The sequence below is a fragment of the Homo sapiens genome, chromosome 15, assembly GCF_000001405.40.
Source record: "Homo sapiens chromosome 15, GRCh38.p14 Primary Assembly".
NCBI classification, from domain to species: domain Eukaryota; kingdom Metazoa; phylum Chordata; class Mammalia; order Primates; family Hominidae; genus Homo; species Homo sapiens.
The window spans coordinates 40,357,538-40,382,457 of NC_000015.10; the positions used below are offsets into that span (position 1 = coordinate 40,357,538).

General features: G+C 52.0%; 1 protein-coding gene and 1 long non-coding RNA gene across 2 annotated transcripts, besides 7 other annotated features; one reads left to right on the forward strand and one right to left on the reverse strand.

Annotated features, from left to right (window-relative positions):
- Positions 603 to 862: a silencer, noted in NCBI's record as "silent region_6328". NCBI's record gives its function as "represses an Ori minimal core promoter by ATAC-STARR-seq in GM12878 lymphoblastoid cells {active_cell/tissue: GM12878}" and the evidence as "EXISTENCE:reporter gene assay evidence [ECO:0000049][PMID:35858748]".
- Positions 682 to 21,084, forward strand: DISP2 (dispatched RND transporter family member 2). The gene is made up of 8 exons (NM_033510.3): positions 682 to 903; positions 6,088 to 6,417; positions 6,689 to 6,718; positions 6,884 to 7,007; positions 7,301 to 7,416; positions 7,610 to 7,737; positions 8,091 to 8,188; positions 9,521 to 21,084. The coding sequence occupies exons 1-8, from the start codon at positions 785 to 787 to the stop codon at positions 12,779 to 12,781; spliced, it is 4,206 nt and encodes a 1,401-aa protein (NP_277045.1). The 5' UTR covers positions 682 to 784; the 3' UTR covers positions 12,782 to 21,084.
- Positions 2,369 to 20,111, reverse strand: LOC124903472 (uncharacterized). The gene is made up of 4 exons (XR_007064597.1): positions 18,086 to 20,111; positions 14,302 to 14,557; positions 13,346 to 13,480; positions 2,369 to 5,600 (listed from the first exon to the last, which is right to left on the reverse strand). It is a non-coding gene; the product is annotated as an uncharacterized LOC124903472 (long non-coding RNA).
- Positions 5,792 to 6,292: an enhancer, noted in NCBI's record as "H3K4me1 hESC enhancer chr15:40655530-40656030 (GRCh37/hg19 assembly coordinates)". NCBI's record gives its function as "activates a minimal SCP1, AML or CMV promoter by ChIP-STARR-seq in naive H9 embryonic stem cells {active_cell/tissue: H9 hESC(naive)}" and the evidence as "EXISTENCE:reporter gene assay evidence [ECO:0000049][PMID:30033119]".
- Positions 6,293 to 6,793: an enhancer, noted in NCBI's record as "H3K4me1 hESC enhancer chr15:40656031-40656531 (GRCh37/hg19 assembly coordinates)". NCBI's record gives its function as "activates a minimal SCP1, AML or CMV promoter by ChIP-STARR-seq in naive H9 embryonic stem cells {active_cell/tissue: H9 hESC(naive)}" and the evidence as "EXISTENCE:reporter gene assay evidence [ECO:0000049][PMID:30033119]".
- Positions 9,789 to 10,680: an enhancer, noted in NCBI's record as "H3K27ac-H3K4me1 hESC enhancer chr15:40659527-40660418 (GRCh37/hg19 assembly coordinates)". NCBI's record gives its function as "activates a minimal SCP1, AML or CMV promoter by ChIP-STARR-seq in primed H9 embryonic stem cells {active_cell/tissue: H9 hESC(primed)}" and the evidence as "EXISTENCE:reporter gene assay evidence [ECO:0000049][PMID:30033119]".
- Positions 10,463 to 10,642: a silencer, noted in NCBI's record as "silent region_6329". NCBI's record gives its function as "represses an Ori minimal core promoter by ATAC-STARR-seq in GM12878 lymphoblastoid cells {active_cell/tissue: GM12878}" and the evidence as "EXISTENCE:reporter gene assay evidence [ECO:0000049][PMID:35858748]".
- Positions 10,763 to 10,842: a silencer, noted in NCBI's record as "silent region_6330". NCBI's record gives its function as "represses an Ori minimal core promoter by ATAC-STARR-seq in GM12878 lymphoblastoid cells {active_cell/tissue: GM12878}" and the evidence as "EXISTENCE:reporter gene assay evidence [ECO:0000049][PMID:35858748]".
- Positions 24,062 to 24,562: an enhancer, noted in NCBI's record as "H3K27ac hESC enhancer chr15:40673800-40674300 (GRCh37/hg19 assembly coordinates)". NCBI's record gives its function as "activates a minimal SCP1, AML or CMV promoter by ChIP-STARR-seq in primed H9 embryonic stem cells {active_cell/tissue: H9 hESC(primed)}" and the evidence as "EXISTENCE:reporter gene assay evidence [ECO:0000049][PMID:30033119]".

Genomic DNA, 24,920 nt, shown 5'->3' on the forward strand with positions numbered 1-24,920 from the left:
ATAAAAAAGGATCTGGGATCACTCAATATACCCTTATAACAAACCTGCACATGTGCCCCTGAATCAAAAATTAACCTTAGCTTACTGTGATTTGTTTGCTTTATAAACCTTTTAAATTTTAAAAAAGAAAGAGAAGGAGCTGGGGATGATCTGAGCGCCTCTCTTCTTCCCCCACCTCCTTCACCAGACTGCGCACTTGAGTAACGGAGTCAGGGCTCCGCATCTAAGGGGTGCACACCCAGGTCCAAGTCGAAGTCCAGAAGGATGGGAAGAAAGACCCAACCTGATGCCTCGCCCCACTGGGGAGGGGAGGAGGGCGCTGAGCGAGCCGGGAACCTCGCAGGCCTGAAGCCGCCCGCCTCGACCCGGGGCGTCCAGCGTGGTGAAGTGCGGGCGTGGAGCTCGCCCTCTATCCGGCTGGAAGGGTCTGCGTTTTGATTTGTGAGGATCTCTGCATGTGTCGCGCTCTCTGGTTCCTTACGGGAAGGCCGAGGCCGCTAGGAAGGGTTGCACGGCCGGACTCCTAACAGCGGCTCTCTGGCCTGGCGGGAGCAGAGGGGCGCTCACATCCGCAGCCCCGGGATCTTAGAGACAGAGCGCTCCGCTCCGGCAGCGGCGCCGCGCCCATTGGCTGGGCTCCTCCTCGCCCCGCCCAGCGACCGGCCCGCTCAGAGCCTACGCATGCGCACGAGCACCCCGCCGCCGCTGCCGCCGCCACCGCCGCCGCCGCCGCCGCCGCCGCGGCTTCAGCACCAGCGCCCGGACAGCGGTGCCGCCCACGGGCATGGACGGTGACAGCAGCAGCAGCAGCGGCGGCAGCGGTCCGGCTCCCGGCCCGGGTCCGGAAGGGGAGCAACGGCCCGAGGGGGAGCCCTTGGCCCCAGACGGCGGCTCCCCGGACAGGTAGGGCGGACAGCTCCGCAGATCCGTATCACAGACCCTCCCAGACCCTCCCCGCCCCAGGTATCCCCAGTAGCCGCCATATGTTGCCCCATTCATTCCCCAGACCCTCCCGGAGCCCCTTCCCGGGGTCGCCAAGCTCCAGGCCCCCCTCGCCACGCCCTCATCCTGCCGGGTCAATTTCCTCGCTCCCTGACACCCCCTAGTGTCAGCCCCCATCGCCCTCCCCGCTTAGGGAACCTGCCCCACCCACGGCTCCTACCCCTCCTCTCAGGCCAGGACTCCCTGGCTCCTCCGGCCCCTCCTTCTAGGCCCTGCCCCTGCGTCTTCTCCGGAAGCCCCAAGCCCGCAGTAACCTCAGTCCGGGTTTCAGCGTGCCAGTGTGCATGAAGGTGTGCGTGAATCGCGGATGGGAGGCTCGCCAAGGCGGGTGTCCTGGGGAAGGCAGACATTCGGCAGGCACGTCAGGGACTGTCTTTGTCACCATCAGTCGCTTGCCTGCCCTGCATGACCCCCAGCTGTGCACGTGTGGGTTCCAGTCCCTGCATGTGGCAGCCACACTGGCTGGAGCCGCTAAGATGGGAAGGATTTGGTGCTCAGGCTGCTGGCCTGTACCACCCCTGGAGGAGCCCCATACTGGTGGGACAGGAGGGACACCTTCCTGCTGAGGGCCCAGATCTCAGCACCTCTCTTCTCCCTTCCTCCACCATATGTGTGAGGGAACAGCCCAGCTAGGTAGCAATATGGCGCAATTTCTGTGCCCTGCCTGGCTCTGCCGCCCCCAGAATCCCTCCTCTGACATGACACTGCCTCTTTCCTGCCTGGACTGAAATAAAAGGCATTCCTTGATAGCAATAGCAGAAGTGGACACATCGTCTCCAGAATACCCCAGTTAAAATGTACATTCTGTACCCCAGAGGGGGAGAAAGCCCCACAAGTAGAGAGAAATGCTTTCTTCCCTTTATTGTTAACACATTAGCCTGGATAGATTTAGCCACTCTTCAGTCTGAAAGTCACAAAGCCTTCAAGAAGGTGAGACACAGGATGGGTGTATTCACCAGTCCAGGGACCTGCCTGGGACTATGGCCTGATCAAAGATGGGGCAGTGACAGGACAGAGCGAGGACCTGGGGCCAGAAGCATCCCTAGAAGGGGCAGGAGAGTCATTTGCTGTCTCAGATATCTTGCCAAGGATCAGCCATGTCCAGTCTCATTTCCCCTGGGCACAGGATCCACTTGCTCTCTTCCAGAAACTCCCTGGGGCCTCTGGCCCCTCTCTGGACTTCTCCAGAGACCATAGACACTAATTGGGCATAGGGACTTGCTTATGTGATTCAAGAAACACAAAAATGCTCCTGCTGACCTGAGTAGCACTCTGGGGATAGATACACAGTGAATAACTCACACACACAACATGCGCATGTGCACACACACTGGCTAGAGAGGAATTTGAAATAGTTCACACTTTGTGTTTTTAAAATTACCTTTTTATTTTCCTAGTGATATGAGCTGCTTCCCCATCTGTCCTGGCCACTCTGTGGGATCACACTGATGTTCACCTGGCTGTGTGTCTGTGGGCTTGGGGGTATAGTTAATGCGATATACATTTGCCCCTTATGGGGCTTCCAGGTTTGGTCTCTGTGTCTAGGAGCCTGTCAGCCAGGCCCTGATTGCTGGGATGCTGGCCTCTTAAATGAGGCCTGCATCCCCACTTTCCATCCCCCTGCCTGCCCTACTCACTTGGCGTACAGGCCTGCAGGCCCGGGCAGGCAACCCTGGAAGTTACTCATCCCAGTGAGGGCCATGGAACTGAGGGAGTGAGAATAAAAAACCCCTGTGTAGCCCTGGGGTGCTTAACTCCTATTTTACTGAGCCTCCTGAGATCAGAGGGCAGCAGGAGGTGACAAGAGAAAGCTTTTATTCTGAGAAGAGTGGAGGTCGGTTTTTCTCATGGGAGTTTTGAAGAAAAGGCCTGGCTCTACAGCAGTCAGAATATGGAAGGTTTCAAATTCTGCCACATTGATAATGGTGGGCACAGTCAGGAAGGGTGAGATTGGGGGCAGCTGATCCTAGGTCCCTGAAGAGGAATAGTAGGAGTTAAAGGGAAGGAGCTGGGGCCAGGGAGACTCCAGCAGAAGCAAACCAGTGGTGGAGGCTAAGATCCCCCTTGAACAAGAGCCAGCTAAGGAAAAGGGTGGACTTGGGAGGTTTTAGAAAACTGGGTAACCAAGAGTGCACCCACTCTTCTCCCGTATCCTCTGGAATGCTGGCTTCCCCTAATGCAAAAGAAACCAACACTCCAAGTGGGGCCCTGGCTCCTAAGACAAGCCCAGTGATCAGTTATCTAAGGCCATGGGCAGCTGGAACAGGCCCCCCACCTCCACCCAGGCTGCCCCACTCTCCTGACCTCTAGAAGGCAAGCCCTGCTCTGAAGAGGGAGACCAAGGCTGATGGGTCATCTTCAGGCCTCTAGGAGCAAGGACAATGCTAAAGCACAGGACAGTGCTCAAGAAAAACCCGCAGAATTTAACATCTTAAAGAGGTCTATGTCCACACTTACACACACAACCTAGGCCATTTATCCACCTTCTCACTGGCCCACAGGGATTGGCCTACAGAGTATTTTATCTGCCAGGACACTGGCTGCTTACGTTATTAACTTTATGGAGTCATCTGAGGTCTTGCTTTAGAACAACTTTGGTCAAATTCCTATTTTCCTAAATGTTGAGTTTGTAAAAAATAAGTATCAGTGATTAAAATCATGAGATCAAATTTTAATGCAGCTTTTGGATAACAAGAAGGAAAGTATTTATATAGGTAGTGAGATTCTCAAGGTGTGAGAAGTTCTAAAATGGAGATATATTATCTGAGGTGCCAAAAGAGGACAAATTGTAAATACAAACACACTTCTAAAAGTATATGCTCCCTGCTGCACTGACCGTGGGAAGGGGCAGGAAAGCAAACGTGTCTTCCACGTGACAGACCCTGTGCCAGGAACCTCACATATGTTACATCAGTTAATTCCCACACCAAACCCAAGAGGTGGGCATTATCTCATATCTTCAACAGACAAGGATGCCAATGCTCCAAGAATTGTGTGTCTTTCCCAAGGCCCCAGAGCCAAAGGGTGTTTGAGTCAGAAGCCCACCTCCACTGCTCCCCCATTTCACCCTCAGCATGAAGGTCATTCTCTCCTGTACTGCCGGGCCAGCCTGCCATCCTTCTGGGAAAGAAAGAAAGAGCATGTTTTTCCTTCCTAGTTCCTCTTCTCAGTCTCTGGGCTGAACTCAGCCTCTGTGGGCAATGCCCATCTGCCACTGAGGCTGGGACTGCAGCTCACAGCCCCTTCAGCAGTGCAGCAGCCAGGACTGGAAGCCAGGGTTGGCTCCGCATAGGTCTGACTCTCCTTGGGAGCTACACAAACTCTGGTGAGCAGGCTGGGTGAGCCAGGCAGAGGCAGGGGAGAAGAAGACAGGGCTCTGCAAGGCTGACCAGTCCAGAACCCCTCTGGGAACCCCCCATGGCCCTGGGCACTCTGTTCTGTAGCCACCTTTTCCTAATCTGGGTCTGCAATCCTGCCACTGGGGTTGAGACTCTACCTCTCCCTATACCCAAGGAGTGGGGCTGCACACATGCACAGAGTATTGCCCTTATGAGTAATTTTGGGAGAAGACTCTTGCTAACTCTTTTCTGACAAGTTCCTTGGGGTGAGGGGGTGTCCCAACTCCCTCTCCCAACTGTGCACATCCTTACAAAGCAAATCTTCTGCTCCGTGCTCCATGGCCCATGACAGGGTAGGTGGAGGGATGGCAGTTGCTTCCACAAACTTTCCCTGACCACCCCACCCCCTGTCAAAGTTGGGCCCTCTCTGAGCTCCCTCAGCCCTCTGTGACTTCTCCACTCACAGCATTCAACATGTTGGTCTGTTAACACCTCCCAACTACTGTGAGTGCCTAGAAGGCAAGGACCGGGTCTTCTTCATCCTAGCACCACTATTAGCAGCCAGCCTAGCACTCATTCAACAAACATTTCCAGGACGCCTTCTCTGTGCAAGGCACTACCAAGGCACTGGCGATATGGAGATGAACAAATGCAACAGACCCCTGTTCTCCCAGCACTCACATTCCACATGAAAGATAGGCAATAAACATAACGACTCTATAATATAATATTCAATTGCAACAGATGCTATGAAAAAAATATAAAGCAAGATAGGGAGATTGAGACCTGGTGGGTGACTATTTTAGAGAGAGTAGTCAGGAAAGGCTTCTCTGAGGTAGTACTAGTTGAAACAAGACCAGAATAAAAAAGAGGGCCATGCAGTTATCGGGGGGGATAGAGCAACCCAGGCAGAGGGAAGAGAAAGTTCCAAGGCTCTAAGATGGGAATTAGGAGTGCAGCACGTGCTCAATAATCTGTCTGGCAAGAGAAAGAGCAGACGACTGCAGCAGAAAGAGCACAGGACTGCAAGTCGGAAGAACTGGGTTTGAGTACCAGCTCTTCATCTGTCACTGAACCTGTTTTCAAATCTATCAGTTGAAGAAAATACCTCCTCTGTGAGGTTTTATAAGGAGTGAGTAAGATCGGCTGGGCGCGGTGGCTCACGCCTGTAATCCTAGCACTTTGGGAGGCCGAGGCAGGCGGATCACGAGGTGAGGAGATCAAGACCATCCTGACTAACACGGTGAAACCCCGTCTCTACTGAAAATACAAAAAAAAAAAAAAATTAGCGAGTCGTGATGGCGGGCACCTGTAATCCCAGCTACTCAGGAGGCTGAGGCAGGAGAATGGCTTGAACCCGGGAGGCGGAGCTTGCAGTGAACTGAGATAGCGCCACTGCACCCCAGCCTGGGTGACAGAGCGAGACTCCATCACAAAAAAAAAAAAAAAAATCATATATGTGAAAGCACATTCAGTGTCTAGCACAGGGCCTAGCATGTAGCAGCCTGCCAATTGTTTTTTGAGAGTGTGGAAAATGAGTGAATGAGAGAATGGTCTCCATGAGGTAGGCTGAGGGCGCAGACTTCGAGCCCCTGGCCTCCTCACCTCTCACTTCTCCCCCAGGACTAATAAATCAACCCTGAGTCCCTGTCCCCTTGTCTTGTCTTACTGAACTGAATAATGCTGGGGCATGGGGTGGCCCACCACCATCCCCCACCCCAATCTTCCTTGTCTCCTCTCTTCCTAGCACCCAGACCAAGGCTGTGCCCCCTGAGGCAAGCCCAGAGAGAAGCTGCTCCCTCCACAGCTGCCCCCTGGAGGACCCTTCCAGCTCTTCAGGACCCCCACCAACAACTTCCACCCTCCAGCCTGTGGGTCCATCCAGCCCCTTGGCCCCTGCCCACTTCACCTATCCCCGGGCACTGCAGGAATACCAGGGGGGCAGTTCCCTGCCAGGACTTGGGGATCGGGCAGCTCTCTGCTCCCACGGCTCCAGCCTCAGCCCTTCTCCAGCCCCCTCACAGCGCGATGGGACCTGGAAGCCACCCGCTGTGCAGCACCATGTGGTCAGCGTCAGGTAAGGAGGGGTCCAGCAGCCTGCCAGCTGCCACTGGAAAATGCGGTGGGGCTTAAGAGTGGGGCAGACTGCCGGGGCTCTAGACTCCTTTCTTAGGAGGCAACCAGATGCAACAGGAAGTAAGGGTTGGAACTTGGGAGTGGCAAAGCGCTAAAAGGGTTAATACCATGGGTTATCCCTCACCTACCCACTCCCACCCCACCTCCACCCCCAACACACGCCCTCTGCAAGAGAACTCTGGCAAGCAAGCATCTTTTCTTCTCTTCCACAGGCAGGAACGAGCCTTCCAGATGCCAAAGAGGTAGGCCTGGGCCTTCCCTGGACCTCTAGGGGTGACCAGGCTGGTGCCCAGTTAGCCCTGTTCCCCGTGCTCTCTGCTCTATCTAGCACCCCTTCTGGGTGGAGCCTGAGCTCAGCACCCGTTGCTACCACACCCAACTCATGTGGACTCCTCCCTCTTTCCCAGCTATTCCCAGCTGATTGCTGAGTGGCCAGTGGCCGTGCTGATGCTGTGTCTGGCTGTCATCTTCCTCTGCACCCTGGCTGGACTGTTGGGGGCCCGGCTGCCCGACTTCTCCAAGCCTTTGCTGGTGAGGAACCAAGGGGTGGGACGGGGTCCCCAGGCCTGGCCACCTTGACCCAGCCTGGGGCAGAAAGTTGGAGGTAGGGTAGCCATGGTAGCCTGGGGATAGGGTAGCCATGGTAGGCTCTTGACCTCCAGAGAGAGTTGGGGAGATGGTATAAAGTTCAGACTCACATCCACAATTCAGGCAGGCGGGCTGGCCTTCCCTGCTCTGAGGAGTCAAAGGGGCAGAGCTGAGAAGCACCCAAATGGAGAACTCCTACCCTGCCCACCTGTTCTTCTCCACCCTCCTCCCTGCAGGGCTTTGAGCCACGGGACACAGACATTGGGAGCAAGTTAGTGGTCTGGAGAGCACTACAAGCCCTCACAGGCCCCAGGAAGCTGCTTTTCCTTTCCCCAGACCTTGAGCTGAACAGGTAACAGGCTCTCATCTTTTCACTGTGGGTGGCAGAGGGAAGAATGAGATCTTCAGGAAGGGGACATTGGGTGACCCACCCCAAGGCAGGTCAGAGGGGCTTGCCAAGGAAGGCTCCCTGGGGAGTGGTCTCTGGCCTCCTCTGAGTCTTCCAACCCTAATGGTGCCTGGCATAGATATTCTCTCCACTTCAGCTCGAGCTCCCACAACACTCTGAGGCCTGCACCCAGAGGCAGTGCCCAGGAGAGCGCTGTCCGGCCTCGGAGAATGGTGGAGCCCCTGGAGGACAGAAGGCAAGAGAACTTCTTCTGTGGCCCCCCTGGTAAGCTGCAGCCTGGCCAGTTCCTGGTTTTAATAGTGGTCCCCACCCCACCTAGTAGGACAGGCAGGCCCAGAACAAATCTGGGCAGACAGAAAGGGAAGGTGGCCAGCTGGCCACAGTCAAGCCAAGGAAGCCGGGTTACAGCTGGGATAGGGGAGTTCTCAGATGCTCCAGCCAGACAGGGTCAAGCTGGGTTGGGGTGAGGCACAGGGACAGGATCAGGCAGTCCATGCACAGGCTTGAGATGCCTGAGAATCTGAACCTCATGTGGCCCTGGGTAAGCATCTTCCCTTTGGAGGACCCAGGACCTGGGGCCAAAGGACTGAGCTCCAGGTTGCGGGGGTATGTTGCAGAGAAGAGCTATGCAAAGCTGGTGTTCATGTCCACCTCCTCGGGCAGCCTATGGAACCTGCATGCCATCCATTCCATGTGTCGCATGGAACAGGACCAGGTGAGCTGGTGGGGGAGGTGCCAGGGGTTTGGGGGGAACTAAGGACATGAGGGAACTGATCCCAAGGAAATACAGCTGAGCCAGGACTGCCAGGGGGTGGACTGGGGAAGAGCATTCCCTGCTTAGAAAATTATTCCAACCCTGCTGAGAGGCTCCAGGTTGGGGTGGGAAAAGAAGAGTCGGCTGTTTTTAGAAGAGCCAAGATAGAAGTGCTGGAAGCGAGCCCATGCAGGGACTGCGGGTTTCCAAAAGGTCCTGAAAGGGCCCTCCAGAGCGGGTGAGGAGGCCCTGGCCCAGGGAGCTGAGACTGTGGGCTTCAAGGCCTCAGCCCCCATCAACCTGAGCAGTGCCAATCCAGTTATGCTAACTGGAGAATCATATACAATAACATCTGAAGAAAGGTTTGCTGCTGAAAATGGTGTGAAAACCACGCAGCAGCCCAGCCCCCCACTTCACACGAGGATATCCCAAGTACCAAAAGACTGGTTAAGAACATGCATTATAGAGTCAGATGTCTGAATTCAAGGCCAGCTCTAAGGCTGTCTTGCTATGTGACTTCAGCCATGTTTCTTAACGTCTTAGTCCCTCAGGCTTCATAAGCGCTAAATGGGGATGATAAACGTACTTTCCTCACAGGGATGTTGTGACAGTTAAATGAGATAGAAGTTGAAAAAATACAGCATAATGACTGGCAATAGTAATCTCTCAATAAGTACTGTGTTGCCACCATGATCTCAGGCCCAAGGTTACGCAGCCAGTTAGTGGCAGAGCAAGGGCCTCTGACTCCCAGGTCAGTGCTCTCTGTACTACGTCAGCTGTTGTGATGTCAACAACAGGAAAGGAGAAAAAAGGAGGCATGAGATTTGAAAAAGAAACAGCCCTGGGCCTAAGAGGGTTTAAGCGGTGCAGTGGACAGAGGGGAGCTGGGTTTTGGCAGTGACCCTGAACCTGGAATGTTTTGGCCTCCACTCTTCCCATTGCTTGCTTCAGCTCATTGGACCCTTGGCCCTGTTCTATCTGTGGCTGCTACCTCCACTTTTACATGGAGTTGGGGTGTGTGACCTACAGGGGCCCTTACAGCAGGGTCTCTGAGGCTGAAGCCTTGGGCAGCATCCCTGAGGCTCCTCTTTGATGAAGTCAAGATGTAGCTGCTGGCACCTGGGCCAGGAGCCAAAGGCAGCTGGGAGACAAGCCTATCTCACCAGGCTGTCAAGATCCCTCTCTGCGCTTGCCCTGTAGTGTGAAAGGAGATGAGAGAGCCTTGTATAGGACTGGGAAAACCTGAGCCCTTGGGCTGCCCCTGAACTCTCCCCTCCTGCGTGTGCCCTACAGATCCGCTCCCATACCAGCTTCGGGGCTCTGTGCCAGCGGACAGCAGCCAACCAGTGCTGCCCCAGCTGGTCCCTGGGCAACTATCTGGCTGTGCTCTCCAACCGCTCCTCCTGCCTGGACACTACCCAAGCTGACGCAGCCCGCACACTGGCCCTGCTTCGGACCTGTGCCCTCTACTACCACAGTGGCGCCTTGGTGCCCTCTTGTCTGGGACCTGGGCAGAACAAGTCCCCACGCTGTGCCCAGGTTCCCACCAAGTGCTCCCAGAGTAGTGCCATCTACCAACTCCTGCACTTTCTGCTTGACAGGGACTTTCTGAGTCCCCAGACCACTGACTACCAGGTGCCTTCCCTCAAGTACAGCCTGCTCTTCCTGCCCACCCCAAAGGGTGCTTCCCTCATGGACATCTACCTGGACCGGCTGGCCACCCCCTGGGGGCTTGCTGACAACTACACCTCTGTCACTGGCATGGACCTGGGCCTCAAGCAGGAGCTGCTGAGGCACTTCCTGGTCCAGGACACGGTGTACCCCTTGCTGGCTCTGGTTGCCATCTTCTTCGGCATGGCCCTGTACCTGCGCTCACTCTTCCTCACGCTCATGGTGCTGCTGGGGGTGCTGGGCTCACTGCTGGTGGCCTTCTTCCTTTACCAGGTGGCCTTCCGCATGGCCTACTTCCCCTTCGTCAATCTGGCAGCCCTCCTCCTGCTGAGCAGCGTCTGCGCCAACCACACGCTCATCTTCTTCGACCTGTGGCGCCTTAGCAAGAGCCAGCTGCCGTCGGGGGGGCTGGCGCAGCGCGTGGGCCGCACCATGCACCACTTCGGCTACCTGCTGCTGGTCTCCGGCCTCACCACGAGCGCGGCCTTCTATGCCAGCTACCTGAGCCGCCTGCCGGCCGTTCGCTGCCTCGCCCTCTTCATGGGCACGGCTGTGCTGGTGCACCTGGCGCTCACGCTGGTCTGGCTGCCCGCCTCCGCCGTGCTCCACGAGCGCTACCTGGCGCGCGGCTGTGCGCGCCGGGCGCGGGGCCGGTGGGAGGGCAGCGCGCCCCGGCGGCTACTGCTGGCGCTGCACCGGCGGCTCCGCGGCCTGCGGAGGGCGGCGGCTGGCACCTCGCGTCTGCTCTTCCAGCGCCTGCTGCCCTGCGGCGTCATCAAGTTCCGCTACATCTGGATCTGCTGGTTCGCAGCACTGGCGGCAGGGGGCGCCTACATCGCCGGAGTCAGCCCCCGCCTGCGGCTGCCCACGCTGCCGCCGCCCGGCGGCCAGGTCTTCCGGCCCAGCCACCCCTTCGAGCGCTTCGACGCGGAGTATCGCCAGCTGTTCCTGTTCGAGCAGCTGCCGCAGGGCGAGGGCGGCCACATGCCCGTGGTTTTGGTGTGGGGCGTCCTGCCTGTGGACACTGGCGACCCTCTGGACCCTCGTAGCAACAGCAGCCTGGTGAGGGACCCTGCCTTCTCGGCCAGCGGCCCTGAGGCCCAGCGCTGGCTGCTGGCACTCTGTCACCGGGCCCGGAATCAGAGCTTCTTCGACACCCTGCAGGAAGGCTGGCCCACGCTGTGTTTCGTGGAGACCCTCCAGCGCTGGATGGAGAGCCCCAGCTGCGCCCGCCTGGGGCCTGACCTCTGCTGCGGCCACTCGGACTTCCCCTGGGCCCCCCAGTTTTTCCTGCACTGCCTGAAAATGATGGCTCTGGAGCAAGGCCCCGATGGCACCCAGGACCTGGGACTCCGCTTTGATGCCCATGGCAGCCTGGCCGCCCTGGTCCTACAATTCCAGACCAACTTCCGGAACAGTCCGGACTACAACCAGACCCAGCTCTTCTACAATGAGGTCAGCCACTGGCTGGCAGCGGAGCTGGGCATGGCACCTCCAGGCCTCCGCCGTGGTTGGTTCACTAGCCGTCTAGAGCTGTATAGCCTGCAGCACAGCCTGAGCACTGAGCCTGCTGTGGTGCTGGGCCTGGCTTTGGCGCTGGCCTTTGCCACACTGCTCCTGGGCACCTGGAATGTTCCCCTCAGCCTATTCTCCGTGGCAGCTGTGGCAGGCACCGTGCTGCTCACTGTAGGACTCCTGGTTCTCCTCGAGTGGCAGCTCAACACTGCCGAGGCCCTGTTTCTCTCTGCCTCAGTGGGCCTCTCAGTAGACTTCACTGTCAACTACTGCATCTCCTATCACCTGTGCCCACACCCTGACCGCCTGAGCCGTGTGGCCTTCTCTCTGCGCCAGACCAGCTGCGCCACAGCCGTGGGGGCTGCAGCCCTGTTTGCGGCAGGCGTGCTCATGCTGCCTGCCACAGTGCTGCTCTATCGCAAGCTGGGCATCATCCTCATGATGGTCAAATGCGTCAGTTGTGGCTTTGCCAGCTTCTTCTTCCAATCTCTCTGCTGTTTCTTCGGGCCAGAGAAGAACTGTGGGCAGATCCTCTGGCCCTGTGCCCACCTGCCATGGGATGCTGGTACTGGGGACCCTGGTGGGGAGAAGGCAGGCCGCCCACGACCAGGGTCAGTGGGAGGGATGCCCGGGTCCTGCTCAGAGCAATATGAGCTACAGCCCCTGGCACGGCGTCGGAGCCCCAGCTTTGACACCAGCACAGCCACCAGCAAGCTGTCCCACCGGCCCTCAGTACTCTCTGAGGATCTGCAGCTCCATGATGGTCCGTGCTGTTCCCGGCCCCCACCAGCCCCTGCCTCCCCAAGGGAGCTGCTGCTGGACCACCAGGCAGTCTTCAGCCAGTGCCCTGCCCTGCAGACCTCCTCCCCCTATAAGCAGGCTGGCCCCAGCCCCAAAACCCGGGCCAGGCAGGACTCCCAAGGGGAGGAGGCTGAGCCCCTGCCAGCCTCACCAGAAGCCCCAGCCCACTCTCCTAAGGCCAAGGCTGCAGATCCTCCTGATGGCTTCTGTTCCTCAGCCAGCACCCTGGAGGGGCTCAGCGTCTCTGATGAGACCTGCCTAAGCACCTCTGAGCCCAGTGCCCGTGTACCAGATTCCGTGGGTGTGTCCCCAGATGACCTGGATGACACTGGGCAGCCAGTCCTTGAGCGAGGCCAGCTCAATGGGAAGCGGGACACCCTGTGGCTGGCGCTGAGGGAGACAGTGTATGACCCATCATTGCCCGCTTCCCATCACAGCAGCTTGTCCTGGAAGGGCCGAGGGGGGCCAGGGGATGGCAGCCCTGTGGTGCTGCCCAATAGCCAGCCAGACCTGCCAGATGTTTGGCTGCGCAGGCCCAGCACTCACACGTCAGGCTATAGCAGCTGAGGGGGACCCGGGGAGGCTGGACAGGGCGCGGAACCCTGTCATGGATGACAAGGCAAGGGCAGCAATAGGCTGGAGCCCGAAGGTATTTCTCCAGATCCACAGGGAGAGGTCTCACCCTCCAGCTGTGGATGTTAAACCCTGCCAGATGTCCCAGCCTTGATCTGTCTGCTCCTACTCCTCACATCTGGAGGATTCCAGCAGGAGGGGTTTTGGAGGGGACCTGCTTGCGACCTGCTGAGGGCTTGTCTGCTCCCACAGCACCATCTAAGACCCCTCCTCTAGAAGTGGGGAAGGCCAGATGTGTAGCTTCGGGTATCAGAGGAGGCTGACCTGGCCCCCATCCCAAGTTACAAGAACTTCAGTGAGACTAAGGGACCCCCATCCTAGGGATCTTGTCAGGGTTCCTTACTGACCAGAGGAGCCCGCAGCAATCTCCACAGCCTCCTGGGTCTCACCCCTTTCATGGGCTCTTCATCAGGACACTTCCCTCTCTTTTGGGAGCTTCTCTGGGCAGAATTGGGCTGGGACCTCTCTCCCCAACTGCCCTGCTCTCCTCATACTCACCGGTTTGACCAGAAATTCTCCAAATCCAGCCATAGATGGCTGCTGGGTGTGCAGCAGGAGAAGGAGGATGGTCAGCCTTGGAGCATCTCTCAATTACGGGACAGTCCCTCTTTGGAAGCAGGCTCCTGTGCTTTCCTGTGTTAATAAACAGTAATAATCCTTTCCATCTCTGCACATTTTAGTCTCCTTGGAATCTATCTCACTACTTCACTACAGGGTAGCCTGACATTGGTCAGGTTCTTTTGACACCCAATTTATAGGTAAAGACATTGAGACTAAGTAAGATGAACTGACCTCAGGGTCACTTAGCCACTAAATGGCAGAGCGGTTTCATTCCACCACTACAACCTCCAGTTTCCCTTTGGCTACCTGCCTTCTTTCACCGCTAGCACCCTCCTCCAATCTGCTTTCTCTGGTGTCTCTGACTGAATCCAGCCACCCTCTTTGGGCCTCCACTTCCTGAGAGAGCTGTATTCCAAAAAAACCCAGGAGTTCCTCTCCATCTCCCCCGTGCCTCCCTCTGGAATCTGGCTGAGATGTCTGCTGGCCCTGGGGCGTCCTAGCTGACCTGATTCCCAGGCTTCAGGACCGTGCCTCTTCTACAGCCACAGTGTATAAGAGGCCCCACCAGAAGAGGTACTGAGGGGCAGAAGAGGTGAAGCCAAATCCAATCAAGGCAGGAACTCAGACCTGCCCTTTGGGAAGTGTATGAGTCTGAAGCTGCTTCCCAGGTTAGGGTCCCCAGCTTTTTAAGGACAAGTCTCTCTGTGGAGCGTTAAGCAGACCAAAGGCTGGTTCCTCCTTCCCAAACTTCCTGGTAGGGAAGTTTTATCCCATGTGAGAGCTCATGACACCAGGTGGCATCAACATGTTTATTGAACACCTACTTTGCATATGGTATTACAAGGGGACAGAGGTGTGGAAGAAAAATTGAACACCACCCTCAAAGAGCTCACCTTCTAGCTGGGGAGACAGCTTATGCACACATGCAGGCATCGGATGGCTCACGGACGGCACCATATGCCTGCCATCATCATTATTGTTGGAGCTCAAGTACCCAGGACTGGGTAACAAGAAAGGCTTTCTGGAGGAGGAAAAACTTGAGCTGGGCTTCAGAAGACCAAGCGTCTCAGACTGGAAGGGGCCTTGGCGATCGTTTATTCCAGCAGTTTTCAAATTTTGTAGCCTCAGGACTCTTTCTTCAAAGAAGCTCTGTGTGGAAAAACAATATATAAAACAGGTAAAAGGCAGCTACTCTGGTGGGCGCTGGGTGTTGGGGGTGGAGTCAGCTTAGCCTGTCTTTCCACTGCAGCCTCTCCGGGTATCTGGGGAACCCCTCCGGCTCCTGGCAGCTTCACAGAATGTAATATGAAAGCTACTGATCCAGGCTATTTTACAGAGGAGTATCAGGAAAGGGAAGGGATTGTTCTAGGGCCAAATAGTCTGTGGCAGAGCTGGAGGCAAATCAGATGATGTTTTTGTTTTATTTAGTTTTTTATTATTGAGACCTACTTCCTACTCCAAGTAGCCCATGAGAAGTGGAGCAGAAACCGAAAAGAGACATGGGAGTTGTGGAAGAGACAGAAGGCAATAGGCAGGTACGGCAGGATACCTTGGCTCCTTTGCAAGATAAGTAAATCAAGATGAGTAACTCCTGACACCAGGAAGGGGAAGCTGGAACCTAATTTGAACCTGTCCCCAGGGGGTCTGCTGGGACCTCTCTCTTCATGTCCAGGTAGCATTCGGCCTCTCTGACCTAGAGCTGCTCATCAGCCCTGGTTTCTCTGATAATGGTGTCCCTCTGTCATCATGCAGCCAGGCTGAGAGAGCCCTGGTATCCTCAGGGACAATGAGCCACAGGGAGGTTAAGGGAACTCTTCCTCCCAAGCATGAGCAGAAGACACTTTGCCTGAACATAACCACTGAAATGTTAGAATGCAGAGGGGTGGATGGGTGGGCATGAGGGATCTGAGCACACCCGAGGGCCCTACCTGGGGATTTCCAGGTCATATTCTTGCAGGCTGTGGCCACACAACACTTCAGGAAGGTGAATGAGCCATAGCAGCTGATGCATTGATTAGATTTGTTCTTTATGTTGCCAGGCCCAGAAGAACCCAGCAGTAATCTAAAACATTACCTTATACCTAGAATGGCCCAAACCAACAGCAGGCAATCCACATCAGCAGGAAATCCAGCCTGCCTCTCTAGCCCTGACTTTGGAATGTGGAACTTAAAGCACTTCCTATTTCCTTTGAGTTGCAGCAGATCCTTTGCTTTATTATTATTAGGGGCACTTACAATGAGTGTATGGCCCTGGAGACATGGCTTACAAGCACGCTGTGAGGCGTACAAAAATGAGTCAAAGCACTTATGCTTGCCCTGCAAAATTCAAGAAATGATTTCTCCCCACTCAGACACTCTAATAGAACTACATTAACATTTGGAACTTGAGGTCATTTCCCCTATTTGTGCCACTGATCCTTGAACTCACATTCTGAGTACGAGTATGTATCCTGTATGCTATTAAAATATAACTTGAGGCCGGACATGATGGCTCATGCCTGTAATCCCAGCACTTTGGGAGGCTGAGGCAGGTGGATCACTAGACGTTAGGAGTTTGAGACCAGCCTGGCCAACATGGTGAAACCCCGCCTCTACTAAAAATACAAAAATTAGTTGGGCGTGGTGGGGGATGCCTGTAGTCCTAGCTACCCAGGAGGCTGAGGCAGGAAAATCATTTGAACCCGGGATGCAGAGGTTGAAGTGAGCCGAGATCGTGCCACTGCACTCCAGCCTGGATGACAGAGCAAGACACCGTCTCAAAAAATAAATAAATAAATAAGTCGGGCACGGTGGCTCACGCCTGTAATCCCAGCACTTTGGGAGGCCAAGGCAGGTGGATCATGAGGTCAGGAGATCGAAACCATCCTGGCTAACATGGTGAAACCCCGTCTCTACTAAAAATACAAAAATTAGCCGGGTGTGGTGGCGGGCGCCTGTAGTCCCAGCTACTCGGGAGGCTGAGGCAGGAGAATGATGTGAACCCAGGAGGCAGAGCTTGCAGTAAGCCGAGATTGCGCCACTGCACTCCAGCCTGGGCAACAGAGCGAGACTCCATCTTAAAAAAAAAAAATATATATATATATATATGTAAACTTGATATAGTCTGTTACCATGGGAAAACCATCCTTCCATGGCTGTGGTGATTTGGGGACTTTTAGAGTGACAGTGTTAGACAGACTGATTTTATTGGCTGAATCTTAGATTTTACTGATATATAGCATATCCCATACCATGATATGCGGGCAATATTCCAGCTTGAGACAATTTTTTTTTTTTTTTTTTGAGACAGAGTCTTGCTCTGTCGCCCAGGCTGGAGTGCAGTGGCACAATTTCGGCTCACTGCACTAATTTTTTGTATTTTTAGTAGAGACAGTAGAGTATTTTTAGTGTTAGCCAGGATGGTCTCGATCTCCTGACCTCATGATCCGCCTGCCTCGGCCTCCCAGAGTGCTGGGATTACAGGCATGAGCCACCGCGCCTGGCCGAGACAATTTTTAAAAAGACATTTCTCAAGAGAGTTATAAGCCAAAATTTCCCTAGCCCCCTCCAACTCATTCTGTCCTTCTCCCAGTGCATGTCAGGACAGGGAAGAAGGCTTTAAATCAGATTTTAAGAAAGAGGATACATTGGTTTACAACCTTTGCCTATCGTCCAGAGAGTTTCTGATCTTTTCTTTTTTTTTGAGACGGAGTCTTGCTCTGTCGCCCAGGCTGGAGTGTAGTGGCACGATCTTGGCTCACTGCAAGCTCTGCCTCCCAGGTTCACGCCATTCTCCTGCCCCAGCCTCCCGAGCAGTTGGGACTACAGGCACCTGCCACCACGCCTGGCAAATTTTTTGTATTTTTAGTAAAGACGGGGTTTCATTGTGTTAGCCAGGATGGTTTCGATCTCCTGACCTTGTGATCCGCCCACCTCGGCCTCCCAGAGTGCTGGGATTACAGGTGTGAGCCACTACACCCGGCCCTGATCTTTTCTTTGACGGTGGCAGTATCTCATTTTTTGATAATACACATGGGTAATGGCAAGCTCTTGGGACCCCATGCCAAGCATCAAGATCCCATTTACCTGGTGATAGGAAAGACAGACATTCCTCACCCTTTCTACCCACACCCTTGTTCACAGGGATGACTGTAACTAAGGTCTGCAGGTATTTATGCTTAGGAGAAGAAATCGTAGTTCAATTCACCAGGAATATGAGAAACAAAAGAAAGCCACTATGTGCTATGTAAATGTCTGGCCATCCAAAGCCACCTTATGCAGAGGAACACTGGAAGGGCCTTGATAAATTTCTCATAATTATTATCGGGCCTCTTTGTGATTACTCACATTTTTCTCAATATAGGGGAAAGATCAGCATTTTACCAAATCCACAACCATCAAACAAACAAGAGCTTTAATATTGCTAAAGAAAATCACACAGCTGAGCAGATTGATGTAGATTTGAATTCATGACCACCTATCTTAACTGGACCCTCAGCTCTGCCTAGCTAGTATTCATTCTAGCTACTAGTTTTGATTATTTGTATTGACTCTTTTATATTTTCTCCACCTTCCTCAAATATCTCACCTTCCCCCACCCCTCAGTGGACAAAAAAAAAAAAAAAATTCTTCATGAAGAAAACTGAAGCCTTCAAATAGAAATTTCCTCACCTTCAAGGCACCAAAGCCACAACTTACCTACCCCCGCTCCTGCCTGCTCCTCTCCCCATCCCTTCTGCTACAACGAAGGAAGCAGTAATGGCTCCATCAATGGCTTCTCACACTTGGTGTCAGAGGCCTTCACACGAGGGTTTGCACTCCCCTACAAGGACATGAAGACTTTCTAGAAGGTAGGTGGACACAGATAGTTTTAAAGTAATCAGTTTCCAGAGCCGCCTTCTCCATATGTTCCCCTCCTTATATTGGTGGGCCTAAGAAGCCACAGGCCTGACAGCTGTCCTTCCCAACTTCCACTTTCCCAGTTGCCTCCCCTCCCTCATTCTGAATCCTACTCTGGCTCCTTGCTCTGCGCTGTAAAAAACAAATAAAAGGGCCACTTGAGAATGCTCTGCTTGAGGAAGTCCTTGAAAGAGCAAAGCCTGGAGAGCTTCTTTGAGAAAGTTCACAGGGGCAGCCCTGTGGCTCAGTTCTGTGCCTTCTTCATTTAAGAATTCAAATTCATTGACATGTTATATTGTAAAATATATAAATATATATTAAAAAGGAAAAAATAATAAAAATTTTTAAAAATAATTCAACTTCAGGTGAGACACAGTGGCTCATGCCTATAATCCCAGTGTTTTGAAAGGCTGAAGTGGGAGGATGGCTTGAGGCCAGGAGTTTGAGACCAGCTTGGGCAACATAGCAAGATCCCGTATCTACAAAAAATAATTTTAAAAATTAGCTGGGCATGGGCCGGGCGCGGTGGCTCACGCCTGTAATCCCAGCACTCTGGGAGGCCGAGGCAGGTAGATCATCTGAGGTCAGGAGTTCAACACCAGCCTGGCCAACATGGCAAAACCCTGTCTCTACTAAAAATACAAAAATTAGCCGGGCGTGGTGGAGCATGCCTGTAGTCCCAGCTACTCAGGAGGCTGAGGAAGGACAATCGCTTGAACCCTGGAGGCAGAGGTTGCAGTGAGCCAAGATCATGCCATTGCACTCCAGCCTGGGTGACAGAGCGAGACTACATCTCAAAATAAATAAATAAATAATAAAATAAAAATAAAAATTAGCTGGGCATGGTGATATGCGCCTGTAGACCCAGCTACTCCAGAGGCTGAAGCAAGAGGATCACTTGAACTCTGGAGTTCGAGGTTACAGTGAGCCATAATCACATTATGGCACTCCAGCCTGGCAACAGAGCGAGACCTTAACTCTAAAAAAAGAAATAAAGAAGAATTTAAACTGAAAGTGAGATGGTTGACACAGGATACATATTAACCACATTGATTTGAATGGAAAAATAAAATCAGACTTTTTCTGTTAGAAGGTCAGAATTGGCTCACAGGTTTGACAGAGAGGATAGTCTTTGCAAGTAGGATGTATGGTGGACATTTTCCCTAAAATGGAATAACTTTAATCTGCAGCTCCACAGTTTGAACAAAAACAGACTGAAGGCTGGGCGTGGTGGCTCATGCCTGTAATCCCAACACTTTGGGAGGCCTAGGCGGGCAGATCACGAGGTCAGGAGATCGAGACCATCCTGGCTAACATGGTGAAACCTCATCTCTACTAAAAATACAAAAAAATAGCTGGGCGTGGTGGCGGGCACCTGTAGTCCCAGCTACTCAGGAGGCTGAGGCAGGCGAATGGCGTGAACCCGGGAGGCGGAGCTTGCAGTGAGCCGAGATTGCGCCACTGCACTCCATCCTGGGCAACAGAGTCTCAAAAAAAAAAAAAAAAATTTTTGACTGAAAGTACAGATACAACTTCCCTTTCCAGCCAAGATGGAGGAGCAGGGGCCAAGTTTATCCTCCTGCCTGAAACAACCAACCAAACAGTAAATACATGAAATAATGAGTTTCAAGACACTGGACATGAGGTAACAAAAGACAGTGATCTCTCAGAGGCAAGAAACAAACAAGGAGAACCCCTCGGTTGCCCAGCTTACCGCTTGAGAGGATGTATTTCACGGAGGGAGAACCCAGGCAAAGCAAGTGACTCTGAGGTGAGGGGATAGCTGGGAGTGTGGAGCAGCCAAGCTGGCTAGAGTGCTCAGGACAGGGTACTGGAGAGGAGAAAGGTGGATATATAGAGAATTCTGGGGATCTGCAAAGGGCCCCCCTTGAGTGTTCCACAGAGCATGATTCATCATATAAGTGTAAGGAAACCACTTGAGACAAAGGAAAGGACCACCCAAAACAATGGGCCGGAACAGTAGCCAGAAGTCACACACAGCCTGGACCACGCCTGTCCCCATCAGCCAGATTGGAAAACCTCAAATTTATGGAGCATTGGTCAGAGGTCTCAGAAGGGCCTTGCCTCGTAGTGGGGATTCATTAGCCCTAGTTTAAACATTGCTGGAACCTACCTAACAAATCTCAAAAGCAAGACCTGAATTCAGGAATCAAGCTGTTTCTAAGTAACTGAAGTGTATCCCAGAACAAAACCCAAGAACATTAACAGAAATCCAAAATTAACGAGCACCCAAAAATGTAAAATTCACAATGGCTGGTTTTCCAATAAAAAATTACCAGTCATGCAAACTATAACCCATCATAAGGAGAAAAATCAGTTGAAACCACTACAGCTGACACCTATGTGAGAATTAGACAAGGACACTAAAAGAATTATTATAACTGTATTCCATATGTACTAAGTAGAGACTAGGAAGATATTTTTAAATACCCACTTTGAATTTTAGAGACGAAAACTAAAATGTCTGAGATGATGGGGTGGGTGGGGTAGGCAGAAAGAGGAGGATGGGAAGAAGTACCAAGGGGAAGGAGGAATGATTTGGGGATGACGGCTGTGTTTATTATCTTAATTGTGGTGATGGTTTCACAGGTATATGTAATTTCTAAACTTATCAAATTGTACACTTAAAATATGTGGTCTATGGAATGTTAATTATATCTCAATAAAGCTGTTAAAATTGTACTGAAACAAAACCATTGGGGGAAACTGGGTAAAGAGTCCAAAGGACCTCCCTATACTATCATTGTAACTTCCTGTCAATTATAACGATTCCAAAATAAAGAATTTAAAAGTGTTTTTAAAATTAAAAAAAAAAAGTCTGAGATGGAAAATCACTGAATGGAATTAACAACAGTTTAGACGTTGCAGAAAAAACAGTAGTGCACTTGAAGACATAACAATAGAAATTATCCAAAAAACACCAAGAGAAAGAATTTTAGAAATGAATACAAAGGGCTAGGCGCAGTGGCTCATGCCTGTAATCCCAACACTTTGGGAGGCTGAGGCGGGCGGATCACCTGAGGTCAGGAGTTCGAGACCACCCTGGCCAACATGGTGAAACCCTGTCTCTGCTAAAAATACAAAAATTAGCCTGGTGTGGTGGTGCATGCCTGTAATCCCAGCTACTCAGGAGGCTGAGGCAGGAGAATCGCTTGAGTACGGGAGACAGAGGTTGCAATGAGCCGAGATGGCACCACTGCACTCCAGCCTGGGCAAAAGAATGAGACTCCATCTCAAAAAAAAAAAAAAAAAGAAAAAAGAAAAGAATACAAAGTATACACAATGTGACCAGGTGGGTGGCTCATGCCTGTAATCTCAGCACTTTGGGAGGCCAAGGTGGGAGAATCAGTTGAGGCCAGGAGCTCCCGACCAGCCTGGGCAACATAGCAAGACTTCATCTCCACAAAAAAATTTTAAAATTAGCCAGGCATGGTGGCACGTGCCTATAGCCCCAACTACTTGGGACGCTGAGGCAGGAAGATCGCTTGAGCCCAAGAGTTGAAGGCTGCAGTGAGCTATGATCGCACAACTGCACTCCAGCCTGGGAAACCAAGCGAGACCGTATCTCAAAAAAAAAGAAAAAAAGTATACACAATATACAACAGGCAGAAAGTATGTCCTTTACAATGATTTAAAGTTATGAAAAAAATTTAAGCCAGGTGAGATAGTGCATGCCTACAGTCTTGGCTACTTAGGAGGCTGAAGTGAGAGGATGGCTTGAGTCCAGAAGTTCAAGGCTACAGTACGCTATCTATGATCACACCTGTGAATAGCCACTGCACTCTAGCCTGGGTGACATAGCAAGATCCTGCCTCTAAAAAAATAAAAATAAAAGTAAACTTAAATTTTAGGTATCAAGTGAAAACAGGCAAGAGGGTTTTTTTATTTTTTTATTTTGTGGGGGCGCATGAATAAAGGAATTTAAAGATGCTACTCTGGATCCCATCTTCCTTCTTCCTTGCTCCTGAGTATCCTTTCCCTCTGTTCTGCTGGCTCGTTCCTATCAGCACACATATCCACAGCTTTAAGGAAAGCTTCCTTTGACCCCCATAACCCATCTCCAGTTACTGCCCAGTTGCTCTGCTCTTTTTGCAACAGACGCCTGGAGTTCTGCCATCTCTGCTTCCTCATCTCCCACGTACTCTTCAACCCATGCCCATGTGACTGCCACTCCAAACGCTCCACCAGCATTCCTCTTGCTAGACTCATCATGACTTCTCTGTTGCTAAATTCATTGGATGCTTTTCGTTCTCATTCTGCTTGCCCTTTCAACTATTTTCAATAGTTCACCACTCCCTCCTTCAGCAGCTTGCCACTTCCTCCTTGGATTTTGGAACACCACCCTTTTTTGTTTTCTTCTCACCTCTCTGGCACTTCTTTATCAGGTTTCTTGGCAAGCACCTTATTACCATTGCAACTTTTAAATGCAGGTGTCCCTGTCCTTGGCCCAAAGGCTCTCTGCACACTTCTTCTCTTGAGCTCATCAAATATCAAGGTTTTATTTTATTTTTTATTTTATTTTGTTTGAGACAGAGTCTCGCTCTGTCACCCAGGCTGGAGTACAGTGGCACCATCTCGGCTCACTGCAACCTCCACCTCTGAGGTTCAAGTCATTCTCCTGCCTTAGCCTCCCAAGTAGCTGGGATTACAGGCATGCACCACCATGCCTGGCTAGTTTTTTGTATTTTTAGTAGAGATGGAGTTTCACCATGTTGGCCAGGCTGGTTTCGAATTTCTGGCCTTAAGTGATCCCACCTCAGCCTCCCAAAGTGCTGGGATTACAGGTGTGAGCCACTGTGCCTGGCCATTTTTTTGTATTTTTAGCAGAGACGGGGTTTCATCATGTTGGCCAGGCTGGTCTCGAACTCCTAAATATCAAGATTTTAAGTACATTCATATGTCAACAACTCCCAAGGGTGTATCTCCAATCCAGGCTCTCTTCTGGGCTCAGGGCCTGTATTTCCAATTGCCTACTTGACCACTCCACCGGAATGCCTCAAAGATATGTCGAGGTTTTCCACGTTCAAAACCCAACTCTCAATCTCCCCCAGCAGAAAATAGTGACTCTATCCACACAATTATTCAAGCCCAATTATTCGAAAAGAAAAAGGACTGGGCGTGGTGGCTCACGCCTGTAATCCCAGTACTTTGGGAGGCCGAAGCGAGCAGATCACCTGAGGTCAGGAGTTTGAGACCAGTCTGGCCAACATGGTGAAACCCCGTCTCTACTAAAAATATAAAAAATTAGCCAAGCGTGGTGGTGGCACTGTAGACCCAGCTACTCGGGAGACTGAGGCAGGAGAATCGCTTTAACTCAGGAGGCGGAGGTTGCAGTGAGCCGAGATCGTGCCACTGCACTCCAGCCTGGGCAACAGAGTGAGACTCCGTCTCCAAAAAAAAAAAGAAAGAAAAGAATATATATATAAAGTATATATAAATTGAGCCAGGTACAGTGGCTCATGCCTGTAATTCCAACACTTTGGGAGGCTGAAGTGGGAGGATCATTTGAGGCCAGGGGTTTAAGACCAGCCTGGGCATCATAGCAGGACCCCATCTCTACAAAAATTAGCTGGGTCTGGTGGCAGGCACCTTTAGTCTTAGCTACTCAGGAGGCCGAGGTGGGAGGATCTCCTGAGCCCAGGAGTTCAAGGTTGCAGTGAACTATGATTGCACTCCAGCCTGGGCAACAGAGTGAGACCCTGTCTCAAAAAATAATAATAAAATAAAATAAAATATAAATTGGATGACACTCTCCTGCTATAATACTTCAGTGGCTTTCCATTACTTTTAGATAAAATCTAATCTCTATACCTTGGCCTGTAAAATCTGTCTTTTGACTGCTTATTTCTCCAGCTTTATCTGTACCACTCTCTTCCTATCTTTCTGTGCCTATAGAAGAACCCATTTCTGCCTTGGGACTTTGCATTTTCCCCTTTCCCCAATGAAATTAACTCCCTCTCCTTCCTTAATCAAACATCATCTCAGAGAGGTCTTCCCTGAGCCCCCAATATAATCTAAGTTTCCCTGCTTTTCTATCTTATACGATTTTGTACTTTTTCTTCATAGTGTGTGTGTTTTGGTTTGATTTTTGAGATCACGCTCTGTCACCCAGGGTGAAGTGCAGTGGCGCGATCTCCGCTCACTGCAACCTCTGCCCCGCCCAGGGTCACATAATTCCCCCACCTCAGCCTCCAGGGTAGCTGGGACTACAGGAGCATGCCACGACACCTGGCTAATTTCTGTATTTTTTGTAGAGACGGGGTTGCACCATGTCGCCCAGGGTGGTCTCAAACTCCTGGACTCAAGCAATTCACCCGCCTCCACCTCCCAAAGTGCTATAATTACAGCTGTGAGCCACTGTGCCCAGCCTTCTTCACAATTTCACCACAATCCGTAAATATATATTTATTTATGTGATTATTTGTTCACTGTCTGTTTTCTAAGTTGTAAACTCCAGGAGGGCAGAGCCAAGGTCAATCTTGATATTTGCCCTCCCTCACTCCCTTCCACCCACTGAGAACACTGTTGGGTAATCAGCAGGTACTCAATAAATGCCAGATGAAATGAATGAGCTAGTGCATTTAGTAATGGAAGCTACCCTGTTTATTGGGAG